This window comes from Homo sapiens, chromosome 2 (genome assembly GCF_000001405.40).
Source record: "Homo sapiens chromosome 2, GRCh38.p14 Primary Assembly".
Classification (NCBI taxonomy): domain Eukaryota; kingdom Metazoa; phylum Chordata; class Mammalia; order Primates; family Hominidae; genus Homo; species Homo sapiens.
Genome location: NC_000002.12, coordinates 161176827 through 161191075, shown reverse-complemented (window position 1 = coordinate 161191075; position 14249 = coordinate 161176827). Strand labels below are relative to the sequence as shown.

The 14249-nt window shown below is 35.2% G+C and overlaps 1 protein-coding gene across 13 annotated transcripts in view, besides 2 other annotated features; it reads right to left on the bottom strand.

The window, feature by feature from the left end:
- Positions 1–14249, bottom strand: part of TANK (TRAF family member associated NFKB activator) — a 99268-nt gene that overhangs the window by 45155 nt on the left and 39864 nt on the right. For 7 of the 13 annotated variants that reach the window (NM_004180.3, NM_133484.2, XM_005246207.4 and 4 more), the window contains one exon: positions 11315–11462. In NM_004180.3, the coding sequence (NP_004171.2) occupies positions 11315–11413 (99 nt within the window). In that variant the 5' untranslated portion in view covers positions 11414–11462. Of the gene's footprint in view, positions 1–11314; positions 11463–13823; positions 13965–14249 lie in introns of all 13 variants that reach the window. The other 6 variants (XM_047441820.1, XM_047441804.1, XM_047441806.1 and 3 more) reach the window with 2 other exon arrangements.
- Positions 1299–1468: an enhancer, noted in NCBI's record as "experimental_54751 CRE fragment used in MPRA reporter constructs". NCBI's record gives its function as "activates a minimal promoter by MPRAs in K562 erythroleukemia cells, with activity observed for both the introgressed and non-introgressed 2:162046204 variant alleles {active_cell/tissue: K562}" and the evidence as "EXISTENCE:reporter gene assay evidence [ECO:0000049][PMID:34662402]".
- Positions 7857–8026: an enhancer, noted in NCBI's record as "experimental_54744 CRE fragment used in MPRA reporter constructs". NCBI's record gives its function as "activates a minimal promoter by MPRAs in K562 erythroleukemia cells, with activity observed for both the introgressed and non-introgressed 2:162039646 variant alleles {active_cell/tissue: K562}" and the evidence as "EXISTENCE:reporter gene assay evidence [ECO:0000049][PMID:34662402]".

Genomic DNA, 14249 nt, shown 5'->3' with positions numbered 1-14249 from the left:
ATGTGGAGTATAGACAGCTAAGTGGTAAAAGGCTGGTGAGTTTATATAAATTGATGAGTGACAAGTTGAATAGCAATAAAACATGGCTACTAAGATTATCTAGGCTAGACCAATTCTTTTTTTTGTAATAGAGTTTTTAAAAATATGGTAAAATATATATCAAATAAAAAATTCACATTGTTGTGCAGCCATCACCACCATCTACCTCCAGAAACTTTTTTCATCCTTCCTAACTGAAACTCTGTATCCATTACGCAGTAATTCCTCATTCCTTCCTCCCTCTCAACCTCTGGCAACTACCCTTCTACTTTCTGTCTTTATCAATTTGACTATTCTTAGTGTCTCACATAAATTTAATCATACAATATTTCTGCTTTTGTGACTGATTTAACTTAGCATAACATCTCCAAGGTTCTACTCTGTAGCACGTGTACAATTTTCTTTCCATTTTAAGGCTAAATACTACTATGTTGTGTGTATATACCACCTTACAGTTATCCATTCATCTGCTTATGAACACTTGGGTTGTTTCCACCTTTTGCCTAATGTGAAAAATGCTTTTCTGAACCTGAATGTGCAAATATCCAATTGAGTCCTTGCTATCACTTCTTCTGGGTATGTAACCAAGAGTAGTAGGATTGCTGAATCATATGGTAATTCTATGTTTAATTTTTTTAAGAATTGCCATACCATTTTCCACAATGGCTGCATTATTTTACATTCCTACTAGCAATGCATAAGGGTTCTAATTTCTACACATCCTTGCCAACACTTATTTTGCTTTTTTGAATAACAGCCACACCAATGGGTGTGAAGTAGCATCTCACTGTGGTTTTACTAATGAATAGGGATGCTGAGCATCTTTTCATATGCTTATTGGCCATCTGTATAACTTCTTGGAGAAATCTCTAAAGCCCCTTGCCCATTTTAAATCCAGGTTTTGTTGTTGTTGAGCTGTAGTTCTTTATATATTCTAGATATCAATTTCTTACCAAATATGACTTGCAAATATTTTCTTTTATTCTGTGGGTTGCCTTTTCACTCTGTTGATAGTGCCCTTTGACGCACAAAAGTTTTAATTTTGACGAAGTCCAACTTAACTATTTTTTCCTTAGTTGCCTGTTTTCAGTGTCATACGCAAAAAGTCACTGCCAAATCCAATGTCATAAACCTTTCCCCCTAAGATTTCTTCTAAGTCTTTCATGGTTTTTACCTCTTGCATTTGGTCTTTGATCTGTTTTAATTTTTGTATATGGAGAAAGGCAAGGGTCCAATTAATGAAAATGTGATTTCTTTCCATATATTTGTGTCTTCTTTAAATGGTTTGTTGTTAATGTATAGAAACACAACTGATTTTTGCATGCTGATTTTGTAACTTTACTGAATTTGTTTATTAGTTCTAACAGGTGGGTTTTTTTTGGGTGTGGAATCTTTAGGGCTTTCTATACTTAAGATCATGTTGTTTACAAACAGAGATAATTTTATTTCTTCGTATCCAATTTGATGGCTTTTATTTCTTTTTCTTCCTTAACTGCTCTGTCTAGGACTTTCAGTACTATGGTGAATAGAAGTATATCCTTGACTTATTTCAATGGTAGACAAAAAGCTTTCAGTCTTTCACTCTGGAGTATGATGCTAGTTGTGGGTTTTTCCTATGTTGGATGATCTTTATTTTGTTGAGTTCGTTTCCTTCTATTCTTAGTTTGTTGAGTGTTTCTTAAAATCCTAAAACAGTGTTGAATTTTATCAAATGCTTTTTCTGAATCAGTTGAGAGGATCATGTTTTTTCTTTTTAATCCTGTTAACGTGGTATATTACATGGTATATCATGACTAGTTTTGTATGCTGAACCATTACTGCATTATAGGAATAAGTCTCACTTTGTCATGATATGTAATTCTTTTAATATGCTGTTGGATTTGATTTGCTAGTGTTTTGTTGAGGATTTTTTGCATCAATATTGTCTTAGTCTGTTTTGTGCTGCTATAGCAGAATACCTGAGGTTGGATAAATTATAAAGAACAGAAATTTATTTCTTCACAGTTCTGGATGCTGGGAAATCCAAAACTAAGACACCAGTATCTGGCAAGTCCAAAACCAAGACACTAGCATCTTCCATATAGTGGAAGGTATCATGTGACTGAAGAGCAAAGAGAAAGGGCAGCAGCAGCCAAACTGACAGTTTTGGAGCAGCATTAATTATGCCCATGGGGGGCAGAGACCTCATGGCCTAATCATCTCTTAAAGGTCCCACTTCTTAATATTGTTATACTGGCAATTAAATTTCAACATGAGTTTTGGAGGCGACAAACATTCAAACCATAGCAAATATTCATAAGTGATACTAGTCTGTAGTTTTCTTTTCTAATAGTGTCTTTGGTATCAGGGTAATGCTGGCCTCATAGAATGGGTAAGGAAGTGTTACATACTGTTCAAGTTTTTGGAAGAGACTGAGAGGATTGGTATTAATTCTGCTTTAAATGTTTGGCAGAATTCACTGGTGAAGCTATCTCATCCTAGGCTTTTCGTTGTTGGGAAGTTTTTGATTACTGATTCAATCTCCTTACTAGGTAAAGGTCTATTCAGATTTTCATTTTCTTCATGATTCATTCTTAGTAGTTAGTGTGTTTCTAGGATGTTTTACTAGCTTATCCAATCTGTTGGCATACAATTGTTCATAGCACTCTTTTATGATATTTTTAACTTTTGTAAAGTAGGTAATAATGTCCTCATTTTCTTATTTTAGTTATTTGTCTTCCCTCTTTTTTTAGTCAAGCTAACTAAAGGTTTGTCACATTTCTTGATCTTTTCAAATAGTCAACACTTGTTTTCGTTGTTTTTCTCTATTGTTTTTCTATTTTTTATTTATATTTGTTTCCATTTTTATTATTTTCTTCTTTATGCTAGTTTTGGGTTTAGTTCTTTCTCTAGTTTCTTCAGGCATAAAGTTAAGTTACTGATTTGAGATCTCTCTTCTTCAATACATGCATTTACAGCTAAACATTTCTCTATTCACTGCTTTTACTGCATCCTAGAAGTTTTGGTACTTTGTATTTACATTTTCATTTGTCACAATATATATTCATTCTAATTTCCCTTGTGATTTCTTTTTTGACCCACTGGTTGTTTAAGAGTGTTATTTAATTTGTACATAGTTGTGAATTTCCCACTTTTTCTTTTGCTGACTTCTAGTTTCATTTCATTGTGATTAGAAAATATACTTAGCATGATTTTAATCTTTTTAAATTTATTAAGTCATTTTTAATGGCCTCTCCCAGAGAATGCTCCATATGCCCTTGAGCAAATGTGTATTCTGTTGTTGCTGGGGTTTTTACATATGTCTGTTAGGTCCAACTGCTCTACAATGTGGTTCAAATCCTCTATTTCCATACAGATCTTTTGTCTAGTTGTTCTATCCATTATTTAAAGTGTTTAAAGTATAATACTTTAATTCTCCTACTATTATCATAGAGCTGTAATGTTTCTTCCTTCAATAGTGTCAATGCTTGCTTCATATACTTTGGAGCTCTGGCATATGATGCATATATAACTGTTAATATTTGCTTGATAAACTGACCCATTATCATTATATAATGTCCCTTTCCTGTCTCTTGTAGTAGTTTTTGTTGTTTTGTTCTTTTATTTTTGAGACAGGCTCTTGCTCTGTCATCTAGGCTGGAGTGCAGTGGTGCAAACATGGCTCACTGCAGCCTCCACTTCTAGGGCTCAACCAATCCACCTGCCTGTCTCCTGAGTAGCTGGGACTACAGGAGCACACCACCATACCTGGTGTTTTTTGTTTTTGTTTTTTTGTACAGATGGGATTTTGTCATGTTGGCCCAGGCTGGTCTTAAACTCCTGTGCTCAAACGACCCACCTGCCTCAGCCTCCCAAAGTGATGGGATTACAGGTGTGAGCCACCATACCCAGTTTGGAACAATTTTTGATTTAAAGTCTGTTGTCTCTGATTTAATATATTCACTCTTGCTCTCTTTTGGTTATTAACAACTGTATGAGTGTTCTCCCTTTTCCACCTCTTTGCCAGCATCTGTTATTTTTTTGTCAAATATTTTAATCAAGAAAACTATTTTAACTCAGGTGAGATGATATCAAATTGTGGTTTTGATTTCCATTTTCCTAATGATTAGTATGGTAAGCATTTTTTAAAATGCCTGTTGGCCATTTGCATGTCTTCTTTTGAGAAATGTCTATTCAGATCTTTTGCCCATTTCAAAATTGATTTGTTTTTGTTGTTTTGCTATTGAATTTTCTTTATACAGTCTGCTTATTAATCCCTTGTCAGTTTGCAAATATTTTCTCCCATTCTGTAGGTTGTCTCTGTACTTTGTTGATTGTTTCTTTTGTTGTGTAATTTTACTTGATGTAATCCCATTTGTCTAATTTTGTTGCCTGTGCCTTTGAGATCTTACCCAAAATATCTTTGCCCAGACAGATGTCCTAAAGCATTTCCCCAATGTTTTCTTCTAGTAGTTTCATAGTTTCAGGTCTTATATATAATCTTTAATCCATTTTGATTTGATTTTTATACATGGTGAGAAATGAGGGTCTACTTTCATTCTTCTGTATCTGGTTATCTAGTTTTCCTAGCACTGTTTATTGAAGAGACTGCCCTTGAAAGCAATAAAGGAGGAAAACAATAAGGGAGAAAACCATGAAAATATCCAAAGAAAAACCACTCCAACCAAATGGGATAGTAAATGCAAAGGTTCTGAAATAGGAATATATTTGAAAAACAACAGGAAGCCCATGTGGTAGAAAGGCTGTGAGAGAATAGAGTGGTAGGAGATAAATGGACTGTCTGGTAAGGGCCAGATTAGGCTCTGCCTTAGTAGGCCATGGGAAGGACTTTCGTTGTTTTACTTTTTTTGAGCCAGGGTCTCGCTCTGTCACCAGGGTGGAGTGCAGTTGTGTGATCTCAGCTCACTGCAGCCTCAAACTCCCTCAATCTCCCAGGATCACTGGGCTCAAGCAATCCTCCCACCTCAGCCTCCTGGGTAGCTGGGACTACAGGCACATACCACCATGTCCAGCTAATTTTGTTCATAATTTTGGCTTTTATTTTATAGAAATCACTGAAAAATTTTGAGTAGGAGACTGATATAATTAACATTTAAATATTTCTTTTTAAAAGGATCACTCTGGCTGTTGTGTAATGTGATTGTAAAAAGGCATGAATTATTATTATTTTTTTTATTATACTTTAAGTTTTAGGGTACATGTGCACATTGTGCAGGTTAGTTACATATGTATACATGTGCCATGCTGGTGCGCTACACCCACTAACTCGTCATCTGGCATTAGGTATATCTCCCAATGCTATCCCTCCCCCCTCCCCCCACCCCACCACAGTCCCCAGAGTGTGATATTCCCCTTCCTGTGTCCATGTGATCTCATTGTTCAATTCCCACCTATGAGTGAGAATATGCGGTGTTTGGTTTTTTGTTCTTGCAATAGTTTACTGAGAATGATGAATTATTTTTTCACTCTATGTTCAGGCTTTCTCCTCTCTCTCTGCTATGTTATATATTCTTCCACATTGTTTCATTCATCCAAAAAAAGAAAAAAAAAACAAAAAACCAAAAACCTCACTAGTTATCACTCTATTTATCTTCTGCACAGTCAAGCTTTTAACCACGTGGTTTATATTGTCTTTACTTCTTCATTCCCTAATTCTCCTCAGCCTACTACAATCTGCCCTTCCCACTCAACTTAACTGCCTTCATAAATGTCAGTAACCTCCACATAGCCAAATGCAATTGGCTTCTCAGTTGTCATCTTACTAGATTTCTTGGATATCTGGTACTGCTAACCAGTGCTTCCTTCTTGAAGCTCTTTTCTAATGCCTTCTATGATACTACATTCTTTTTCTATAATTTGTTTCTTACCTTGTAGAGTAGTTTTTATTAGTTTCCTTAATGATTTTTCCCTCTCTATGCCTATTCTGTAAAATATTGGTATTCTCCAAGTTCTCTTCCTATGCGTCTCAAATTGCTTAACCTATGTTCTGAATCTCCAGAGGCCAAGTGACTGATCTTCTTCCCTTCCTTCTCCATCTCCCACTTCTGTCCTTCAAATATTCTTTCAACCTATACACTCTTAACTGGGAGATGTTATCCACATTTAAGGATACAATAAAATCCATTACTTCCATATCTACACTTTCCAATTCAGAACTTCTTCTAGGCCTAGATCCAAATTTACAACCATCCATTGGCATTTTCACCTATAAGCCTCACAGGTAACTACAACTATTAACTAAAACCTAATTATAGATCTTATTTCCCTACCCCAAATTTGTACCCTCTTATCCATCCTTGGTTTCAGTCATCAGCACCACCATTAATCCAGTAATTTATTCCAGATACCAGGACACCATCTGAGAGGGTACCAGGCCTCAGATGTGGCCTGCATTCAGGCACCCCTGCTTTCCATTTTATCTCCTAAATAAACCTTAAATCTTTTCCCCAACTCATCTCTAATGCTTAATTTATGTCCTCATTTTGATTGCTTGAAATGACTGCCATTCACTTTTTTAAAAAATTGAGGTATAATATATATGTGCATACATTTAGTATGTATATTAATAGATATTTTATGTATCATATAACTACATAATTTTATATCAATACATATATTAAAGTGCATAAAGTGCAACTGGATAGTTGCCAGTTATTTTATATTGCTTGCTCTTAGAACATTGCTTAGTATGAAATAGGTTCTTAATATATATTTGTTGAGCTCAATTTCACATTGTTCTGTATCCTATCTATCTCTATCCCACTGTCAGGAAGACTGTTCCAAAGCACAAATAATCCTTCAATAACTTTTGATTGAAAAGGATATAGTACAAACTACTTAGCCATACTAATCTACCTTTACAGGTTCTTTTCCTGGAATGTCCCATCATTCTCTTTGAAGCTATATGATTCCTTGTGGTACATGAAATGTATCATATACTCTCTCACTTCTGAGTTTTTTTTAATATATAGTGCTCCTCCTGCTTCTTCCTAACCTTAGCTCAAGTATCGACTCACATTGAGCTTATTAACTGATTCTCATAGACCAAGTGTCTCTTCTCTGTGCTCATGTATTATCCTATACTGATCTCTATTATAGTACAAAATACACTATAGTAATAACTACTTTTTTTATTCTACTATATAGTAAAATATCTATTTTATTTATGATTTATTTGAACTTTTTAAAGTTCCTTAATGATATAAATGATATTTTATTTATTTCAGTATTCTCAAAACTTCATGAAGGGCCCAGTACTTAGGAGGTACTCAATAAATGTTTCTTAAATAAATCTACCAGAATATTTTGATTTTAACATACAAGAATATATATTATACATTTTTTCTTCATCCATTCTTGAGTACTTAACAAATATTAGCTTTGAAAACTAAATGTAAAAAAATTTTCCTTTTTCCTTCTTTGGAATATATGCTAATGTGAGCAAAGGCTTCTTCCACAGCAGATAAGGGGTTAAACTCCCAATTGCTTACCAATGGCTAGTGCAAAAAATATAGGAGTTAACAGGAATTCCTGTTTCTGTCTTATCCAAAAGATATCTTAATACTCCTCTAGAAGAAATATAGAATTGTCACGGTTTCTTAATGAACCTAAGAAGAACGTTGAGTTTTTTGCTTTCTACAAAAGTAGTTATGTCTTAAACCTGAACTGAAAAAAAAAATAAATTCAAATTCTAAACTTCATTTCAATAATCTTAGAAAGCCCTCTCTCATACTGTGCGCTCTTTCCTCCTATCCACCCCTAATGAAGACTTACAGTCCATAAGTATTCATAGGTATTCCATAATGGAGTATTCTTTTGTAAACCAAGAGGAGACTCACAAAGAATAACAATGATTTCTGAAGAATGGAGGGAGTTATGAATGACAGCTAGTTTTATAGATTTATCAATTAGAAAGGAGAAGGAAATTGTGTAGCTCCTGTATTTAAGGAAGAAGCTAATAATTGCATGGCTAGCTGTGGCATTATGATTAGGTTTTTGTCCATGGTTCCTAGCTCGTAACTCTCACAACTCTTGTTATAGTCTTTTGTTACAATACTGAGGTGCTTCAGGCCTTGGAAGCACGCCTCAGGAAACAGTCTCTCTAACCTTCTCCTGCCCTCCTCTCACTTGCTGAAGACAGGACTCTAATATGACTATGGGTTATCAGACCTTCATTCCAGAGAGGGTCTTGCTGCATACTCTGGAGGAAGGAATGCTGCACAGAATGACCAAGAAGAATCTGAATAGACAGGAACTGCTGGGTTTAGATCACACCCTTTTTGTGCAATCACATTTTGAACTGGTTGTCCCTTCTTCAATCATGGACAATCAATGAAGTCTCCATAGAAGCCCCAAAGGACAGGGTTCAGGGAACTTCTGGGGAGCTGAACATATGAAGGTTGACAGAAAGATGAAGAACTCATCCACGTGCTGGGAGGGTAGTGCACCCCAACTCCCCAAAGACAGAAGCTCCTGTATTTGGGACCCTTTCAGACCTCACCTTATATGTCTCTTCATTTGGATGTTAATATCCTGTAAAATATCCTTCAAAATAAACTGGTACAAGTAAGTATTGGTTCCCCTGAGTTCTGTGAGCCACTCTAGCAAATTAATCAAACCCAAAGAGGGGATTGTGGGAACTCCAACTGGAAACTAGTTGGTTAGAAGTTCTGGAGGCTGGGACTTGCAACTTGGGGAGGGGAGAGGGTGGTCTTGTGGGACTGAGCCCTTTACTTGTCGGATCTGATGTTATCTCTGAGTAGATGGTGTTGGAACTGAATTGGAAGACATCTAGCTGGTGTCCACTGCTTAATATGTGGGGAGAAACCCACACACATTTGGTCACAATTGTCAAGTCTTCTTAATGAACCTAATCACAAAATAAGAATAAACTCTGAGATTTTTTTTTTTAATAAAAATGGTTATGCCTTAAACCTGAATGGAAAAAAAAAATCCAAATTCTAAACTTCAATTCTGTGACGTTCTCCTGTTCTCCTCTTCTATGTTGTTGATTATTGTTGTTGTGTGAGATTAGAGGAAAAACAAGGTTCGAGAATTTTTCCAAAATATTAGCATATTAGACTTCAGAGTTTCACAGGCTAGTAATTTTTTTTTTTAATTGGGAAAACCAACATAAGATCTCTCACTTTCAACTGCCTGTGCAGAAGTAATTTAACACAGCAGGCCTGAGGCTGTTATCTTCAGAAAGGTTTAGGTGCAAGTTTTCCCTTGGCTAGTGATGTGGTTTGCCTCTGTGTACCCACCCAAATCTCATGCTGAATTTTAATTCCCAATATTGGGGGAGGGACCTGGTGGGAAGTGACTGGATCATGGAGGCGGATTTTCCCCATGCTATTCTTGTGATAGTGAATGAGTTCTCATGAGATTTGATGCTAAAAGTGTGTGGCACATCCCCCCCTCCTTGCTCTCTCTCTCTCCTGCCACCTTTGAAGAAGGTACTTGGTTCTGCTTTGCCTTCTGCCATGATTGTAAGTTTCCTGAGGCCTCCCAGTCATGCTGCCTGTTAAGCTTGTGGAACTGTAAGTCAATTAAACCTCTTTTCTTCACAAATTACCCAGTCTCAGGTAGTTTTTTTTTGTTGTTGTTGTTGTTTTTTGAGATGGAGTTTCGTTCTTATTACCCAGGCTGGTGTGCAATGGTGCAATCTCAGCTCACTGCAACTTCCGCCTCCTAGGTTCAAGTGATTCTCTTGCCTTAGCTTCCCAAGTAGCTGGGATTAAAGGCATGTGCCACCATGCCTGGCTAATTTTGTATTTTCAGTAGAGACGGGGTTTCACCATGTTGGTCAGGCTGGTCTCAAACCCCTGATCTCAGGTGATCCACCTACCTCAGCCTCCCAAAGTGCTGGGATTACAGGCGCAAGCCACCATGCATGGCCGTCAAGTAGTTCTTTATAGCAGTGTATAGCAGTGTGAGAACAGACTAATACAGCTGGCATTTGGGAACCTGGCTTTTGAAAACCTTTCCTAAATGATAATGTTGTGCCTGCTGTGCCAGCCCACTTAAGACTATACAATGAGATTTACAATGAACACCTTTCCTTTTGAGAGAATCTGGAATTTTGGTTGACAAGAGGGTGCCTATGTGATCAATCCTCAAAAAAAAAAAAAAAAACCCTGAACTCTGAAACTAAAATGGAGTTCCTGATATACTGCACACGTTACTGAATTTTAAAGTTGAAGGAAAGGTGTATAGGAAGGCTGAACAACATGGATTCCTCTAGACTCCTCCTGATGTCTTTTTCCATTAATAATCTGGCTATATATCTTTACTATGTCACTGTAATAAATCTTAACTATGAGTATGATCCAATGTTGAGTTGCATGAATCCTTCTGGGGAATCACAGAACGTGTAGGTGAAATTGGAGACTTCTGAAACACTACTATGTAAACATAATAAAAAGGAGAGAATCCTATCATCATCATTTCACAAAAGTATATGTTAATAAAATTCTGCTCTTTACTTTGATCGTATGGAAACATGGAACATAACATCAGAATAGAAGGCAGAATTTTAGATGAAATAAATGTAGCATTATGAGAAGTTTAATAATTAGCCTTATTTTTCTCATTTTGCTGCAGATCAGTGAAAATCTCATCATGAACCAGTAACAGACATGTGCTTAAGAACTATGAGGTTAAGTAATTTTTGCCTGGATATGCCTTTCCTCCAATTTACTTTCTTCTGAAACTAAAAGTACTAAAAATAAATGTTATGTGTACAGGGATAATTGTAAAAGCTGAAACTTTAGTAAGTCATTAAAGATTTCACTGAAATAGTCTACTTTGAATTGTTATAAAGAATGGAAGAGTATTATAAATTAATACCAAATTTAGTTCTTAAATATTTTAAGATTTGAAAAGTTTTCCTGTCAGCCAAATAACAACATAAAAAACACCAAAACCAAACAAATGGAGACAGTGATACTTCTGTGTCATAAAACTGTTTTTATAGTTATTTCCTCCTTATTTATAAATACTGATATTTTAAAATTATTTATGGAAGACAACATTCACAATCTTTCACAATCACCTGAAAAGGAGCCCATCAAATCAACTCTTCCTATGGGTTGCAATATTTTTAAAAAAAACAACAAACAAAAACTTCAAATTTAATCCATTAATATATACCTGCATTTCTGTAATTATAGTTCTTCAGGGCAATTTCTAACAATATAACATTTTTCAGATGCAAAAGGCTCTAAAATTCCATGTACCAAGATAAAGAATAACTTTCAAAACCAGAACCACACACCTTTTGCTGTAATTCTTTTACTGCAGAATCTCTATCCATGCATGCCTGCCGGAAGGCTTCATACGCTTTATTGAGTTGCTCGCCAATGTTTTTATCCATTCCTCTTCGTCCTGTAGCATCACTATAAAGGATGGAGTAAATGACAGGTCTGCAAAATAATGAGATCAATTTAGATAATTACTAAGTTACATAAACCTCATTTTAAAAATGCATCTTAAAGATAGTTCTATAAGGTTTACCACAAACATTATACCACCAAGTACTATAAACATAAGTCTCATCTAAAATCCTGACTAGAAATTGTATGAAACCTTAAGTTCCACAATTTTAAAATATTCTTATTCTAATGTTCAAGGAGCAAGTGGGGTTCCGGTTCAGGAAGATGCTACTTTGAGAATACTAATCTATAAACTTAACCTAAAAATGAGAAAATATAAAAGGCCATTTTAAATTCTTTATTATGGAAATGTACAATAGGATCAGCAATGTGGGAAGGGATTTCATTTTATTAAATGGACTCTTACTCCCACTTATGAGGTGAATTCTTGCTACACTGAAATTAGAGCAAAATTAAATAGATAATAAATGTTTGTGGATGGAGTTCGCACTGTTGTTACCACAGAGCAATTAAAATGTGTGAAAATGTTCTTATTTTAGCACAAAATCTAGGGAGAGCCACTGTTGCATTGTACGTTAAAAAAGAAAAATCACATCCCTTCAGTCCTACCCCCACTACCGACTAGTTTTCCAACTTCCCTGCTGTTTCTGAATACAGGTGATTTGCTCAGTGGAGGTAATTTGGTTTTATAACCTCAGTCTGCATAACATCTCTTAACGACATTCCTTGGCTCTGAGCAGAAGGCTAACTAATGACTCTGATTCTTCCTGTCCAACTGTAAAAATCACAACACAGGACCTTTCTCTTAATTCTCTAAAAGTCACAGACTAGACAAAGTTCTCTATCAGTTATATTGGGTACCGAGTTATTTCATGTTTGTGAAAATTCTTTAAAATTTCAGTCTCTAATCTGTCATAACATCTTTTGTTATATCTTCAGGCACACTTTTTAAATTTTCACATTTTCAATTGAGATACAATTCATATAGTATAAAATCCACTATTTTAAAGTGTACACTTTGGTATTTTTTAGAATATTCATTATGTTGTGCAAGCATCACCATCAAGATAATTCTGGAACATTTTAATCACCCTCCCTAAAACAGTCCATACCTATTAAGTTAGTCCCAATCCTCCTCTTCCCCCATCTCCTGGTAAGCATTAATCTTTTTTTTTTTTTGTCTCTACGAATTTGTCTATTTTTGACACTGCATATAAATGGAATAATACAATACATGGTTTTTGTGTCTGGCTTCTTTCAGAAAGATATTTCTGAGGTTCATCCATGATGTAGCATGTAACAGTACTTGACTCCTTTTTATGGCTAAATAATATTCCATTGTAAGATATGCAACATGTTGTTTATTCCTCAGTTAATGGACATTTGAGTTGTTTCCACCTTTTGGCTGTTATGAATAAAGCTACTGTGCACATTTGTGTATACATTTTTGTGTGAACACGTTTTCAATATTTTCAGATATATACCTAGAAGTGGAACTGCTGAGTCATATGGTAATTCTATCTTTAACTTTTTGAGGAACTGCCAGTTTCCACAGAAGCTGTACCATTCTACATTTCCACTAGCATTGTATAAGGGTTCCAATTTCTCCACATCCACACCAATACTTCTTATAGTCCACTTAAAAAATTACAGCCATCCTAGTGGGTGTGAAAGGATACCCTATCAAGGTTTTGATTTGCAGTTCCCTAATGACGAGCATCTTTCCATGAGCTTATTGGCCATCTGTGTAACTCTGGCAATTTATCCATTCAAATCCTGTGTCCACTTGTAATAAATGGGTTATTTCTCTTTTTATTGTTAAATTTTAAAAGTTCTTTATATATTCTAGAAACTAGACTCTTATCCAATATATGATTTGTAAGTATTTTCTCCCATTCTGTAGATGCCTTTTCACTTCTTGATAGTGTCCTCTGACACACAATGTCTTTAATTTTAATACAGTCCAATTTACCTATTTTTTCTTTTGTTGTTTGTACTATTGCTGTCATATCTAAGGAACTGTTGCCTAATCCAGGGTCATGAAGATTTTCAATTGTTTCTTTTTAAGTAGTTTATAATTTATATTAAAGTCTTTGATCCATACTGAGTTAATGTTGTATAAGGTGTGAGGTAGGGGTCCAGATTCATTCTTTTGCATGAGGTTAGCCAATTGTCCTGGCATTATTTGTTGAAAGGGCTATTCTTTTCCCATGAATAGCCCTGGCACCCTTGCCAAAAATCAACTGATCATAAATCACAACTTTTTTTTAATACCCACATGCAAGTAATCTTTCAGCCAAAGTCTTTCATTTTAAGATACTAAATACATTTTAAGTAATTTACCAGGCTCAATAAAAACAATTCCAGGGTTTTGGATAACAATGTCATTACTTTCTGAAAAACTGAAGAAATGGCAATTCTTTATGCATTCCACTTAGGAAGTTAGTTTCTACTGCTACCTCTGATAGATGAAAAAGTTGAAATCCTGTTACGATAATTAATGTTGCTAGGATCTTGGCCCAGACATAGACACTATGGAAACATAAGCAGTTAGCATTAATAAAAAGCATCATTTTGAGTATTTTAGACACTGCTTCATTCGAAAACATACTAAGGCTACTTACAAAAAATACATGAGATTAAAAATAAATATGCAAAGAGGAAAGAAAAAGTAAGTATAGGTAGTCACAGGGACTATAATATACTATAATAAACTAATACAGAAGTTAGAGGTTTTAAGTAGCTAAGCGGCTAAGCTATCTATCACTGCCTTAAAAAGCTGCATGTCATGAAAAATTGTCAATATAAACCACACCT